At 40.0% G+C, this 16,369-nt stretch overlaps 1 protein-coding gene across 25 annotated transcripts in view; it reads right to left on the reverse strand.

Moving 5' to 3' along the window:
- The window catches only part of MPPED2 (metallophosphoesterase domain containing 2), a 202,912-nt gene that overhangs the window by 43,942 nt on the left and 142,601 nt on the right, over positions 1 to 16,369 (reverse strand). Inside the window, exon 5 of one of the 25 annotated variants that reach the window (XR_007062496.1) lies at positions 13,244 to 13,387. The exons of the other annotated variants lie outside the window; for them this stretch is intronic. The gene's annotated coding sequence lies outside the window, so the exon portion shown is untranslated. The remainder of the gene's footprint in view (positions 1 to 13,243; positions 13,388 to 16,369) is intronic. 25 annotated transcript variants of the gene reach the window in all.

The following is a 16,369-nucleotide window of genomic DNA, read 5'->3' on the forward strand; positions in this document are numbered from 1 at the left end:
TTAAGGGGGTAGGGAAATTAGTGGGTGTGGGGACTTTTGCTCAGGAAGCTGACATACGGCCTGCCTTCTTTCTCTTTACCACCCATTTCCATATGTGGCAATAAAAAAGCATCTTCAGCAAAGGAAGTCTTAAATTCATTCATGGAATGAATATAAGCCACATTATTGAGCACCTGCTTAGTGCCAGACATCACTCTGTTGCTGGTATATATCTCTCATCTGACTGAGAAATTTCAGTTTAAATGCACACAACATTATATATCTGTATACCACTTTGCTGCTTACAAATAATTCTCACATTTATCAGTTTACCAAGAGGTGAGCAAAGTATTAATTTTGGGAAAAACAGTCTACATAAATAGGATTTTGGGGGCCAGGCATGGTGGCTCATGATTGTAGTCCCAGCTACTTGAGAGGCTGAGGTGGGAGGATCCCTTGAGCCCAGGAGTTTGAAGATGCAGTGAGCTCTGATACACCACTGCACTCCAGCCTTGGCTGTCTCTAAAAATAAAAAATAAATAGAAGTTGTAGCGACTTGTCTAAGGTCATCTAAGCTAAGTTGGCATGAACCAGAACTTTGTAGTGCAATGATTAAGTTAAGAGGGTTAGAAGTTAGGTCTGGATTCAAATTCCAGCTGCTTTCTACTTAGCAATATGACCTTGGACAAGTTCATCTGTTTGATCTCAGTTTTCTCATCTATAAAACGGAGATAAAAATAGCAACCATACACGTATGTTGTGCAGATTAAATGTGATAATATATGTAATACATTTAGCAGACAGCCTGCCTATATAGATTAAAAATTAAATGGTGACTCTTATCATCATCATTATGAATGTTAATATCATTATAGATATTAATATCACCAACCCTTTGGTTTTTGTTCCCTAACTTATCTTCTCCATACTTCATATGACCTCCAAGTTTACCTTTTCTCTACTTTTCAGATGTAGGATGTGGATACCAAAGAATTGAGTAGATCTGTCACAAAGCAATGGAAGATGACATTTGATATGGGTGGGCCAACTGCGAATAAAAAGAAGACGTTCACTTGGGAGATAGAAAAGAGAAGTTCTAGTCATGACTTTTCCAATTTACTTGCTATATAACCTTGAATAAGTACCCTCTCTGAATTCCTGTCTCCTTACCTGTGGAATGAAGACAAAAATTCCTAAGGCTCTAGCAAGATTGTCAAACAAAGGCCTATATGTGTGAGTTGCAAATAAAAGGAAAGCACCTTCTGATAAGTGTCTTCTAATTCCCATGTCATTTCTTGTCCCTGTGGCCTGTTTGTGCTGTTTGAAAGCTCGGGGGAATTGGAATAAGTGACAAGGAGGTCAGATGTAAGTTAAAGTGTTAGCCCCCATTTATCTACCATTTTGGCTCTAAACGACTAGTTTCAGTCCAGACCGATTTAGTAAAGTGAGAAAACTGTGACTGCAAACTGGCAGTACACACAATCAGAGGAATGAGTAAAAAGCTTAGACTGCCCTTCAATTCAGAGGTTAAAGCAAGCACACAGACCCGGTGTCTCCCTCACTGTGTGCCAGCCAACCATATATTATTAATTGGGCTCAACAAACATTATTGAGCACCTTCTACTGCAAAACTCTGGCAGGGCGCTCTGGGGAGATCTAAATGCAATGTGAGGCAATGCCCCACTCTTCACCAACCTGCCATCTGGTTGGGATAACAAGATCATCACAGGCAAAACTGTTCTCCCATATCTCTGCCCATTAAAATTTCACTGAGCCCTCAAGGCTCAATTCATAATTAGATTTTCCCCAAGAAGCTTTCCCCAATCCCCTCAGCCCTTTGTTTAATCCTCATTTCTGGAATTTGTCATGCTCTGCATTATAACTTGCTTGTGTGTGTCTTTTTTTCTCAAAATTATTTCCTATCTCATTCCGACAAGCATTTGAATCCACGTTGTGTTATGGGTATGTCTATCTTCTCCCAGTGGGTTGCAAACCATGTCCTATTTATCTTGGTGTCCCCCAAGATCTAGCACAGTGCCTGACACAAAATAGAGGTCAAGAAAATATTCATAACAATGAAAAAGTCAAGACAGCTTAAAATAAGTGCCCAAGGGAATGAGCCAGATACTACGTGTAACTGGAGGAGGTTAGGAAAGGGCAAGGCAAATTAAGATTGGGCTTTTAAAAAGCAAAGGTCATTTAAAAATACTGGATTAGACATATCACAGGCCTGTGCTGCCCAATATGATAGCCGTATTTACTGAGCACCCGAGATGTAGCTAGTCTGAAAACGGAGATGTGCTGTGAGTGCGAAACACACATCATATTTTGGATGCTTCATATTAAAAAAAAGAATGTGAAAATACTTTAATAGCTTTTATATTGAATACATGTTTAAATGATTGCTTTCTGATAACTGGGTCAAATAGAATATATCATTAAACCAAATTTTATTTTATGTTTTTACTTTTTAATGTGGCTACCAGAAAATGTAAAATTACCTATGTAGTTCACGTTATATTCATATCGGAAAATGCTGTCACAGGCCATATATAATGCTTATACTATGATTCAGTAATCCCTGTCTAGAAATTACATCCTAATGAAATAATCCAAAAGTAAGTAAAAATGCTATGCACAGAGTTGTTCACACAGTGTAATTCGTAACAACAAAATATTGGGAACAATTATTTCTAAATTCTGCAGAAAAAAGAATGGTTAAAAAATTTGCCATGATTGGAATATCCAGTAAAATACATATTATGCAAATGTTAATTCTGAAGACTAGGTGGCAACACAGAAAATCCTTAAGACATCATGTTGCTTGAGAAAAACCAGCCCACAGCATACACTGCACACCATGTCTATGTTCAATCTGCATCTGGGCATGCTCTTCCATTCACCCATCATACATGTGCAGAACTATGACTTCCCACCAGGTTCTGTATTCAGGAAAAATCAGAATTAGAGATGAAAGAGGATGAGGAGGCAGCCAGGTAAACAGACAATTGTGTATAAAATATATGCAATATATATATGCAAGGTGAGATGAACACACCTAAGTTTTCCGAAGCTAAGAAATGGCTGCGAAAAATGTGAAGAAAAACAGGAAAGCTATTCTTTTTGTCATGGATGATGTGGGGCTTTTTTTGCAGCGGGTTGGGGGGGATTCCTAAGCTTTCCTGGATTATTACGATAAAAAGGCAGACTAGAGACCAGCCTCTGTCTCTACATTGAGCCTCTGGCACACAGCGTGTGTGTATTCTCTGTTGGTTCACTGTTGGCTCCACTTAACACTAGGTAGCACTTAACAGTGCAGCTCTGAAGTCAGACCTGTGTCTGAACCAGCTTTAACACCTCCAAAGGTGTGAACTTGAGTAAGCTGCTGCACCTCTCTGAATCTGTTTCCCAATCTGTAAGATGGAGATAATTATATTATCTATGGCAATGACACATTGTTGGGAACATTAAATGAAATAATCCACATAAAGCTCCTAGCAGAGTGCATGGCACATAATAACCCCTAAATAAATGTTGGTTTTATTGTTATTGTAAAGATTAGGAAACAGCATGATACAAAATTGATCAGAATGATAAAGCAGATGGTGGAAACTGCCTGTTTCCTACACTACATTCTAGTTGTATTGGGTCATTACTTTCACTTTCTAGAATCTTCTATAGCCATTGAATTTACTCAACCACGTTTTCTTCTGTGTTGTTTTCTGTTTTGTTTTGTTTTTTTGTTAATGCCTTAAAGGATGATGAAATTATAAATGTTCTATATAATGTGATATTGAAATGACCTGATAATTATTTAGGTCCTCTGTCGCTTACTCAGTGGCATAACTCATAAAAGACAGACTGCATTTTCATTTCAAATTCCACTTTTTTTCAGCCGGGCACGGTGGCTCACGCCTGTAATTCCAGCACTTTGGGAGGCCAAGGTGGGTGGATCACCTGAGGTCAGGAGTTTAAGACCAGTCCGGCCAGTATGGCAAAACCCCATTTCTACTAAAAATACAAAAACTGTGTGGTGGCAGGCACTTGTAATCCTGGCTACTTGGGAGGCTGAAGCATGAGAATTGCTTGAACCCAGGAGGCAGAGGTTTCAAGGAGCCGAGATCGCGCCACTGCCCTCCAGCATGGGGGATAGAGCAGGATTCTGTCTCAAAAAAAAAAAAAAAATCCAATTTATCAATCTCCAGGTAACCTCTCATAGTCAAAACTAAAACCAGGTCAATTGCTTTGTTGTGTCTTAAAGAGATGCTGATGAATTCAAGGAATCTTGAAAACAGAAACATTTCATTTTTCCGATACTCAGTCTTGCTCTTTTCTCTTATTACTAAGCAACTTTGCATGAAAACAGACTCTGTTTTATAAATAGAACATTGTGCAAGGTTTTCTAGAGGTGTCTGCTAAAAATAAAGCAGGTTATAGTTTACTTCTTTATAGCTTTCAAAACAAAACAGCCTAAGCTTGACTAAATTTGCTATATTTCATTTTTGAAAGGTATCTTTATGTGAGCCAGGTCTGATTTCTTGAAATGAAATTCCCCAGAAGTTAGATTTCCTATATTTACACAAGGCATGCCTGTGCAAAGTAATGACACTAGTTTTTTTTTAAAAACATACGCCCTAGAATGAATACAACTTAGTGATGCTATACTTCCACCCTATAAAATACACAATTCTTTTTTGAAAATTGCTTATTTGAAGAGTAAAATAAACATTTTGATGTATATATTTCTAGGTTATCTGCTCACAAATCAACAGCATTACTTTGAAGCTAAAGTACAGGTCCCCAACTTGTGAATTACATTCTAAACTATTTCTAGGTTGCCTGGTTGGAGCTAAAGTGTCATGGTATGGAAACAATGCTAGGTTCCCAGGCAAGTCCCCAGGAGCCAAGCTAACTGATATGATAACATACAATGTTAGAACAATGTGAACGTGGAAAAAAGCCTCTAATCTTCAGCTTTTGATACTAGGCACATGTTTCTCCTTGCACTGTTCTGATGGGGGTCCCCAATCTCCAGTTCGGTGATGGCTCTAGAAGCTGGGTACAGGGACTATGAGTTGGAGAGAGGTGAACCAAGGTTTCCTGGTGTAACTTTTAAGGGTAGTGTTTCTCATACTATGACCAATAAATCTGATTTGCTGAGATTGTTACAGATCAGAAAGGGTTCTATGGTTAAATAAGTTTGAGAAATGTTCCTGCATTTTCCCTCCAATTTTAAGGTATAAAGTGAACATTACCATAGTAAAGATTCTGAGATACCCTGCAGAAAAGAAGCCTGTTTGATGTAATGGATCCTGTTCTAAACATATTGGACCCCCTATAAATTCTGTTTCACTTTTTTAAAATAATGGCTATTCATAAGAGCTAACATTTACATAAAGCTTGCCATGTAGCATGTACTATATGAAACATTACACACAGCATCTCTTTGAGGTGAATGCTGTGATTAACCTTATTTTACAGATGAGGAAACTGAGGCAAAAAGAGGCTAAAGATTTCCAAAGTCACAGGGAGATGTGCTTAACTACCATGCCAGAATAAACCCTGGAAGCCGATCTCCTTGAATGTCACTTTAGGAAACATTATCCAAAGGGCAGGTCCACCCCGTCACTGCTTTCTTTTCTCACATTGGTCCCTCGCTATCATGTCTCAAGCCCATGATTATTCTGAAGCTGTAGTGGGAAATTTTCAAAGGGATAAAAGTTTCTCTCTTTTGCAACAGAGATAGATAGAAAATTCGTTCACATTTCAGAGGAAATCTAGGCTTACTCTATCCTAGTATATTGGTTTCCTATGGCTGCTGTAACAAAACAACCCACATTTATTATCTTATAGTTCTGAAAGTCAGGAGTCCAAAATTAGTCTCACTGTACTAAAACCAAGGTATTGGCAGGGCTGGTTTCTTTTGGAAGCTCTGAGGGAGAATCTAATTCCTTGCCTTTTACAGCTTCTAGAGGCTTCCCACATTCCTTGGCTCCTGGCCCTAAATTACTCTGACTTCTGCTTCTGTGGCCACAACTCTCACTCTGACCCTCCAGCCTCCCGGTTGTGGGGACCCATGTGATTACACTGAGCCCTCTCCACTAATCCAAGATAATCTTCCCATCTCATGACCCTTAATTTAATCACACCTGCAAAATCCTCTCTTCCATGTAAGGTAACATTCACATATTTCTGGGATTAGGATGTGGACATCTTTAGGGCAGGGTCATTATGCTGCCTACCACATTGGCATGTCACTACTGATGAGCTGAAGAGGAGGTGGGCAGGGATCCAGAATTCGCAGGGGAAGGGGGAAGAGACAAGGTCATGGGGCATATCCCTTCCTCACTTGCCCCTCTTACCATCACCAGCTCATCCACAATAGCCCCTGAACAGCAGAGGTGAGATAAAAAGAGGAGTGCAGGGCTGTAATTCTCAAACCATGGTGTGTTTACCCCCAGGAAGTAACAACTGGATCCACAGATCATCCTGGTTTATCATCCTGGAGCAATAATTTTCATTTAAGATATTGAGAATTTTCTAATTTAAATCACAATTTTCATATTAATACAAGCTTGTGCATTTCCAGTTCTGCATAAAAACATTTAAAAGCTCTTCCTAGTTGCCAGAGTACACGGAGATAACACAGTCTAACTCCAATAATAATAGTGATATTTAAATAAATTGATACCTATGAAATGCTTAGATCAACCTGGCACATAAGAAGCTCTCAGTAAGTGATACCTTTCCGTTTTGTTGCTATTCACCATCACTGAAACAATTGTACAGTTATCTGCTGGGTACTTTCAATGCATTAGCTTCACAAGAACTCTGGAAGATATAAAGTGCTAATTTTTTTTTTTCAGTTTTACAGACGATCGAATGAGGAAAGGTCCACAGTGTTTAATCACTCGATTAGGGTCATGCATCTGACTGGTAAAGTTGAGATCCAAACTCAGATTTGGTTGCCTTCAGAATCCCCAGTTTCAATATTTCTTCTTCTCCTTCAAATTTGCTACCCAAGTTTCTCTGGGGCCAGGACAATGTGTCAGAATCATGAGTTAAACCAGAATTAGCATAGTTTGCGAGTGCATTCCTAACAGGCCCTTGTTTGTATGCTTTCTGAGTTATTAGTTCTGCAAAGAACACATTTCTTACTTCCTTATTTTGCCAGTGTTTTAGAAGGCGAGGGACCAGAATTCTGTTCTCTGGAAAGTGGGTTATAACTGCATGGTATCCCATTCTCCCCAGTCCCCTCTACTCTTTATCTGGTGACACACCATCTCTTATGTGAAATGTCTGCTAGCCAGTCAAATATCTTCTTCTTAAAGCCTTTTAACAAGCACACTATCAAAAGTGGTGCTGTCTGCCTTTTTCAATAAACGGAAATTTCCAAAAGTCAGGTTTTTACTGGCTTTCCCTGAAACAGAAAACTCTGAACCAGTGGCAGTGACACTCGATCACAGTGGCTATACATTTGGAAGCATATCTAATACACACACAAAATCTATGCTCCTTCTGAGGACTCTGGCTAAGCATACTGCAGTGAGAAGGAGAGAAAACTGTGTTTCAAAATCTCACAAAGTTGAAGAGCAGGAAGTTTTGTGAGTCCAAGAGCAGTGACAGACACTGGACCAACAAAGCCTGACCACCCATCATTCACATCCCTTCCCTAGACTGGAATCTCTCCCAGTTTTGTGAGCTGGCAGGAACTGTGGACTGGAATTTCCAGCTCTGCCTCTACCAACCACTGTCAACTCTGCCCCCAAACCCCAACCTCATGTCAATCTGTGTGCAATGAAATCAGTAAGTGGCAGAGCTGGGATTTGGTCTCAGGTCAGCCTGTCTATAAACCTCATGTTTTTTTCCCCCTAACAAGCTACAGGGCAAAGGAGATGAGGAAAACATGCTCAGCATAGCATAGGAGAGATGCTAAGATCAGGAACCAAGAGACCTGGGTTTGCAACCTCAGTAGTGTCACCTGAAGTAAGCTTCTAAACTCCTTTATGCGGTGTTCCTTCCTCTGGCTATTAGTGTTAAAGTTTAGCATCTTTTTTTTTTTTTTTTTTTTTTTTACTAACTGAGAATGTAATCTGCCAACCTGAGATAAGAGAGCTTAGTATTTTAGTATTTGAATTACTTAATTTTCTTTAGAGTCTGTAAACTCTCTAAACTGTAAACCGCCAGAGGGGAGGCATTTTTGCTTTTGCTGTATCTCCAATAGTCCCTGCCACTTATTGAGTACTTGATAAATATTTATGGAATGTAAGAACCAAGTCTGGAAAAGTAGCATCCTGTAATGCAATGTTTCTCAAACTTTAGACATCAGTCACTTGAAGCCACTCCAAGGTTCTGTGGCTATAGGATGGAGCCAAAGAACTTGCACTTCTAACAAGGTCTCAAGAGATGCAGATGCTGCAGTCTTGGGACCAGAGTTTAAGAAGCACTGTTGCCGGGGTTAAGAGCCAGAGTCTAAGGCAACCCTCCTGAATTCAAATCCTCGTTGTTAGCTTCATTTACCTCTCCAGGCATCAGCTTCCTCATCTGTAAAAATGCAGATAACAAAAGCACCTACCGCACAAGGTCCATGATGAAAAAGACTTTGAACAGCCTGGAATTTAATAAACATTTTGTTTGCTATTATTATTACTGTGGGAGTTTTCTCTCCTGCTTTGATGTTTTAGCCTGTGCTGTATTTATATTTGTTCTTCAAACAACAAAATGAGTATGTATAATTCAAAAATCCTGGACACTGCTGGGACTCACATTTTTCCCATTAAGTCCTAGATGGATTTAGGTCTAGCTGAGTAATGGAGGAGATTTCATATTCAATAAAGCAATATACTTTTAGACTTTGAAAGTGAGCACCTATATTTTCCAAATCAGGCAACTTCTAGGTTCTAGAGATAAATAAAGACATCATCTCCTGCCTAAAGAGTGTGACATGATGGCATTCTCTGGTTGGTGAATGCCGTGATGGCTGTCACCTCCCTGAAACTGCCTGGGCTGGCTGTGGGAGGGGCAGAGAGCTTCCTCTATTTAAGCGAAGGAAATTAGCAGTGAAACAAATTAAAACAACAATCAGATTTAAGTGGCCTCTATCAGGAAATTAACTTTAATGAATATTGTCATCACCAGGCCTACCTCAGCATCGCTGGGCTCAAGCATTAGGATGCAATAAAAAACTGGGACCTAAACACTAAGTTACCTACCCACAACTCAGAATGAATTTTCTTTTAACTCCCTTGTGTTTGTTTTAATACATCCCATTCCCTGTTCATTTAGGTTTTTCTATGATTCTATTAAACAGCTTACACATCTTTGCAAATACGTAAAAGTATGTTAACTGAACTAGAAGCTGAAAAAGGGACTGGGAGACAGATTTCCTTGTGTTGTCATTGACTCTTAAGTGAGACCTGAAAGCTTCTATTTTCCCCATCAAATTTCAACCCTAGAATGGCAAAGAAGACTTGGAAGGGGCTACTCTCTGTTTCTAAGTAAGTCCTTTCCTGTTAGGAGAATAAAAACCTGGCTTGTCACCTAGGCATGACTCTGAGCTGGGGCTCTTCTGGATCCACACTTATCTGAATACTAGCCTAAATCTAGTCGCCAGCCTTCCTCTACCCAGTTGACTTTTGCACAACCTTCCCTCTTCATTTAAAACACCTCTAGACTCTGTGCTTTGAAATTTAGTCCTATGGTTCAGCTATCATCTTGAATTATTAACCCTGGAAAATCAAGAGCAGTAAAAGGGAGGCAGATAGAAGAAATCTGACCTCACCAAAGAATCCCGACTTGTTAACAAAATGTGCCTCCAGAGCCAAGGAGCAGGAATCTCGGGGGAAGCAAAGCTGATGGGGCCTGAACAACCTAACCCAGTCCAACTGATAGCAGCCCAGGATGAGTAACAGCATAGACTCTGGAGCCAGACAATTGGGTTTGAGTCCTAATTCCACCACTTAATAGTTGGGTGAACTCTGGCATATCTTCCTGGGCCTCAGTTTCCTAATCTGCATAATGGGTATAATAGTAGTTCTTCCACTTCAAGGGATTATAATAAAGCTCAGTTAAAATACGCAAAGCACTTAGAATGGTGCCTGACACACCATAAGCGCTAGGTGTTTATTAAATGAACAAAGTATATTGAGCCCTACTATGTGTCAGAGATGACCAAGAAATGACTCTTTTTCTCAAGGAGTTCATGATCCAGTAAAGGAGAGAGACTTGAGAAGAAGTGTGGTGAGTGAGCATGGAGTGATATACTCATTTATAAGAGCTTCCATTTATTATTTCATTTATCCTATTAGGTACTTTCACATTTGTCCTCTAGTTAATCCCTGCCACAGTCCTGCAATTGACTTATTGCAGTCTCAAATTACCTATGAAGAATAGGAATAAGAAGGTTTAAGTTAAATTACTGACCTAACGGTCAAACCAAAGTGGCTGAGCTAGGTTTTGGATGCAAAGTTGTCCAACTTCAACATTTACACTCTTTCCCTTGACAAGATAATGGGGTGAGACACTTGGGAATCTATGTGCCATGTGCTGATGCATCATGGTAAAAAATAGGCGGGGCCAGGGGGCAGAAGACCTGCTATTATTTTTTAAACCCATACATAACTGCATAACCTTAGACAAATTGCCAAACTCTTCTGAGCTTCAGCTTCTTTAGGTGAAAGACATTACTATTCTCGATCCTATCTGTACTACCTGCCAGAATTATTTTGAGATCAATGAAGATAATAAGGGCAGCCCTAAAAAGCAATTAAAGTGCTAGAGAAGAGTAGGATGCCCTAACTCTAAATCTCAGAGCACAGCAGACTTAAGTGAATCATCTGCCACCCTATCTCTTCTTTGGCTGTTATCATGAAATCATATCTTAACTAGACTATAAGCTCCTAGCAGGCAGAGATACCATCTTCCCCTTAGCATTTGGCTCAGTGTCAGACTCAGAGAAGGAACATGCTAAATAGTTGTTAAAGTACAAGACTCCAGCCAAGGAGAAATATCTAAATAGAAGAAGACAAAATGCTTACAAGAAACTCATAGAAAGATGTGGAATTTGGTGGAAGAAGACAGGTAGGACTAAAACAAATGAATTGGGAAAGGAATGGAGTCTAGTTACGAAGTTTCCTGGGTTCTGATAAATTCAAGATTAGGCCCTTGTACTTCCAAATTCAGAAAAGAACAAAACCTTCAAACCTCTAAAAGTTTGCCAGTCACTAATTATATGGCAATTATTCTATTTTAGGCATTTGCTAATGAGATCTGGGAAGTGTCTTAATTACCCAAAATTATGAAAATAATTTCAAACTTGACTCTAGGGCTAGTTTTACTCCACTTAGGAAGTAAAACCTAAGTGGATGTACACAGGGTTATTTTTTATTAAGAAATAGTCTACATTTGCTGGAACTGTAGACTCAGATGTTTCCTATTACACACTCAAGTCTACAGCATCCTGGCACCTTAATGTCTGAAGGTTCGGGCACATTTGCAGTGTCACTATTATGTTCAATAGGCTGCTAGTGGATTTTGGTAATTTTCAGAAAAAGGCAATTTCTTTGAATTACGGTGCCCTAGAAACCCCAGTCATTGCTGAGTGAGGAGAAGGTAAAGCATAGTACAGAAGTGGCAGTGGAGACAAAAGGGCATAGTAAGCATACTATATAATACATGCTTCTTCTCATGAATTGCCTCCTATAGCCCAAGTAAACGAGAACTTCCTCAGATAATACTACATCCTATCTACATTTATTTACCTTTGTAATTTGTAACCTGTTTTTTGATGTCATAAGAGAAGGGAGTTCAGTATGGTAGCTAAGAGCACAATTCTTAGACCTACTTATTAACTATATTGCCTTAAGCAAGTTACTTAACATCTCTGTGTCTCAGTTTTCTCTGGTATAAATCTAGGTGTTCTGTTAATCCTACAGGCAGAATTAGCAGTAATATAGGTAAAGACCTTGACATACGTTAGATCAGGAATTAGCAAGCTATGGCCCGTGGGCCAAATCTCTCTTGTTGTTTTTATAAATAAACTTTTACTGGGGCTGGGTATGGTGGCTCACACCTATAATTCCAGCACTTTGGGAGGCTGAGGCGGGGGGATTACCTGAGGTCAGGAGTTCAAGACCAGCCTGGCCAACATGGTGAAACCCCGTCTCTACTAAAAATACAAAAACTAGCCGGGCGTGGTGGCAGATGCCTGTAATCCCAGCTACTCAGGAGGCTCGGGCAGGAGAATTGCTTGAATCCGGGAGGCGGAGGTTGCAGTGAGCCGAGGTCGCGCCACTGCACTCCAGCCTGGGTGACAGCGTGAGACTCCGTCTCCAAAAAAAAAAAAAAAGTTTTACTGGGACACAGCTATACCTATTCATTTGCATATCATCTACAACTGCTTCCACACCGCAATGGCAGAGGTGAGTAGCCATGACAGAGACCATATGGGCCGTAAAGTCTAAGATATTTATTACACCTTCTAGTCCTTTACAGAAAACATTTGCTGACCCCTGTTCTGGACTCTGGAGCACTGAATGAATGATGGTTATTAGGGCAGCTGTAGGGCAGGTAATAGCCATTTTACAGAGAAAAGAGAAGCTCAATGAGGTTAACCTCTTTACTCAAGGCAGCAAAACTGGTAGTGCCAGGCCAAGAATAGGTTCTGACCATCTGACTCCAAGCCCAGTGTTTTTTCCACTGCAGTCTACTGCTGACACGTTCATTTCACTCAATAAACAATCGGAGCTGCCACTAAATCTGGCTGAGGCCTCTCCTTTGACTTCTGCATGAGGCATGACTGCTTCTAAGTCCTATCAGCTCAGAGTTACCACAATGATGCATGCAGAGGACGCTAAGAAATACCATTACTACCATGTTTCCCAAAGTGTGTTCTGTGGAATCGTAATATGTCTGGGCTTAAAAACGGGTGCTTTGCTCAAACATATATGTGAAATGCTGAGTTAAAGAGGTGTCTTTACTGCAGGACTTCTCAGAGCCTTTAGTACATTGACAAACTCGTGAATCTCCAAGAGGACAGAGTGAGCAGCAAATCTCAAACCAATCCATTCTCTGGGTTACCGAGCAGAACTAGTGGTCTTCAGAACACTCTTTTGGAAATACTGCTTTTTGGTCTCAGAAATCACATTTTTCCACATCTAGGAAGGGACTATAACTCCCCCTACACAGACGGCATATTTTTTAATTAATTAAAAGAAATTAAAACCAAGGAAATGCCCTTTTAATTACAGCTGAAGCATATACTGACCAAATAGTTCCCAGGAGTTATTGCTGGAAACACATGCTTTCCAATGCTGCTGAGAAAAGGTTTAAGTAGCAGTTTATTCTCCTCCTAATCTTCCCAGACTGTCATAATTCTGGGTTGACCATGACACAATCAAGATCATCTGTTCTATGTGGAAAATCAGAAATGGAACAAGTGAGAGGTCATATTTTTAAACAACGTCTGCCACAATCCCCTTCCATGAAACCAATCACTTAGAAACATCTGTAATGTATGAAATACTAACAATTGACAATAATCTTGTGGTAGTGACTTAATTATGGATCCAAAAGATGCCCCCCTATTCCAGGAGCCTGGCAAAAGATCTGTGATTCTGTGGTTTAGGCTCATATTTCTCTCCCACTTTGTCCTTTAATTCAATCCCAACTCTGAAAGTAGGAAACATTTCTAAAGCTTCGGCCTCAGCTTTTCCAGCATGACAGCCTTCATTCTCTTGCCCCTTTTTTTTTGCATAGGTTTCCCCATTCCTGATTCCCAGTGGGAACAAGTGCTGAGGCCTCATCACAGTTGTCACAGCCCATTCCCCAGGCTAGGTTAGGCTGCTTCTTATTCCTGATTTATCCCTCTGAAACTCTTATTCACAACCCATGAAACTGCTCCTTCACAGGAGTGTAAGTTCCATGCGGCAGAACCCTGTCTTGTTTACCACTGTATCCTTACAGCCTAACTCAGTGCCTGGCATGCAGAAGATGTAAAATAAAAAGTTCAGTTTGTTGATCTCTGGCTCATAGTAAAACTGGCTCAGAGATGGCCAGAAGGAGCATTTTGTATCTTTTCAAGACACATCGTTTAAGATAAAATGCAAAAACTGTTGGAAAGAAGGTGGGAAGAATGTGAAGAAGAACAGAGAAGAACTCCCAAAGATGGCAGTTTAAGAAGAAAATTCTGAAACTCCGGAAGGAGAAAAAGATAGAAGAGTGGTCTCCAGACTGAAATACTCAGGGAGTCTTTTAGAGAACAGAGAAATAGAGCCCAACTAATTAGATCTACATGTGAGTATTTAGTCAAATAAAATCTGTGAATGTTTGGAGACATGTCTCTAATAGGAAAGAGTCTACAAAAAGCAATAGGGGAAGCTTTGCTGATTGCCCACTATGTGTGAAAAAGTATGTCAGGACAGCAGGGAAAACGGGAGAGACAAGACTCCTTTCCAGATCCAACCATATCAAGGTCTGATCAGGGAACCAAATGTGAAAATATTTTAAAATAAAGTGATGTGTTGTCATTCACTTATTATTTCACTCATTCAGCCACATAACAAATATTACTGAGCATTCACTGTGTATAGCTATCGAACAGTGGCTACAGTGACACAGAGGCTAGAGTGACCAACTCCACCTGGGAGAGTCCCAGAAAATATCACATTATAGGTAACATTTCAACTAGGTATCAGTTGGGGCTCTTTTCAAAAAAAAGTTATCACCATTAAGCCAGGCACGGTGACTCACACCTATAATCCCAATACTTTGGGAGGCTGAAGGAGGAGGATAGCTTGAGCTCGGGAGTTGGAGGCCAAGCTGGGGAACATAAACAGATCCCAATTCTACAAAAATTGTTTTAAAAAATTAACTGGGTATGGTGGCTTGAGCCTGTAGCTCCAGCTACTCCTGCTTGGGCCAGGAGTTTGAGGCAGTAGCGAGCTATGATCACACCACTGCACGCCAGCCTGGTCGACAGCAAAATCCTGTCTCAAGGAAAAAAAAATATTGTCATTAAGCTTTCATCCTTATCTTTTTTTAATCAAGTCACATAAGAAATTCTTCAGACACAATATAAATTTATACTTTCTCTGCTCATAGACACACAGACTCCTGAAACCAATCCTCCACACCTGCTTCTCCATCCACTCTGCTGGGAACCTAGTGGGAAATGCTACTTTAAAAAAATAATAAATAAATAAAGCATTTATGATGGGAAGATCGTAAACATAATAGCAGTTAACACTAACTGAGGCTTACTGCTTGCTCCACGTCAGGCATTGGACAGAATTCTTTAAGTGTCAGAGCTTATTATTATTACTGAAGTATCAGTATCTTCTGTTTTCAGTGGAGGCACCTGGGGTTTAGTAAAGTTAGATAACTTATCCAAGGTCACCCAGCACAGATGGGAGTCAAGCTCTGGTCTGTCTGACTTCAGGGTCAGGCTTTTGTCTCATTGTCTTCCTTATATATCACTTTCTCATTGTAGGAGGGGAGGGAGAGAAAGAGAGAAGACGGGGCAGGGATTGCAGGTGGGAGGGTGGGGAGTGAAAGCAGACAAGTGATAGACTAAATAATCCAAAAGATGTCATGGTAATTGGAAAGTATCCAGATTGCAGTAGTAAGGACCTGGGTTCAAATCATGGCTCTGTAGAATGAACTCAGGGAATGAGAAACACTTTGTAGGCAGGTGGAGATAATAAATACTCATCTCCCCCACCATCTTCTATCCTAAGAGGATGACCAGTAACTAGCGTGATGGATTTTTGTGTTTACTTGAAGATAGTATGAATTACTGACAGTTCTCACCATACGAATGACTGCATAACGAAACAACAAACTCATCTTAAGCAGAGATGAACCCACCTTATGCTTCTCCATAGTAATCCGAGGCTTGGAACAGTACATTGCCCTCAATCCACATTTGATGAATGGATGAATGCAAATTGTTAAGGGATACAAGACCTTCTGGAAAAAGCACTAGTTTCAAAGCAAAATAAATGTCTTTTTTGTGTTATTGCTATCTCACAAGAGTTAAAGCCAAAAAATTATTTTAAAAGAAAATTGACTAAAGCTTATTATAGTAAGTTCAAAAACAAGTCGATAAGCAAATGGCTATTCACTGGAAAAGCAAAAAAGAAGCCAAATGGATAGCATCCTTGTGTTAAGTGAAAAGTTTGCTCTTAAGGCACAGAAAGGTAGAATAAATGATACTGAGAGAGAGAACTGACCCGGCATGATCTGCATTCCACCTGCGTTATAACGTAATGAAAATGAAGCCATGTGCTCGGGGCAGGGTTGTCACTTTCAATTGCTCCAAATTGTTTTGCTTGTCTCACAAAATGCTTCAAACACATCAAAAGCACTTACCTTCCTGAAGAAGGAGTCCATA

This window comes from Homo sapiens, chromosome 11 (assembly GCF_000001405.40).
Source record: "Homo sapiens chromosome 11, GRCh38.p14 Primary Assembly".
NCBI lineage: Eukaryota > Metazoa > Chordata > Mammalia > Primates > Hominidae > Homo > Homo sapiens.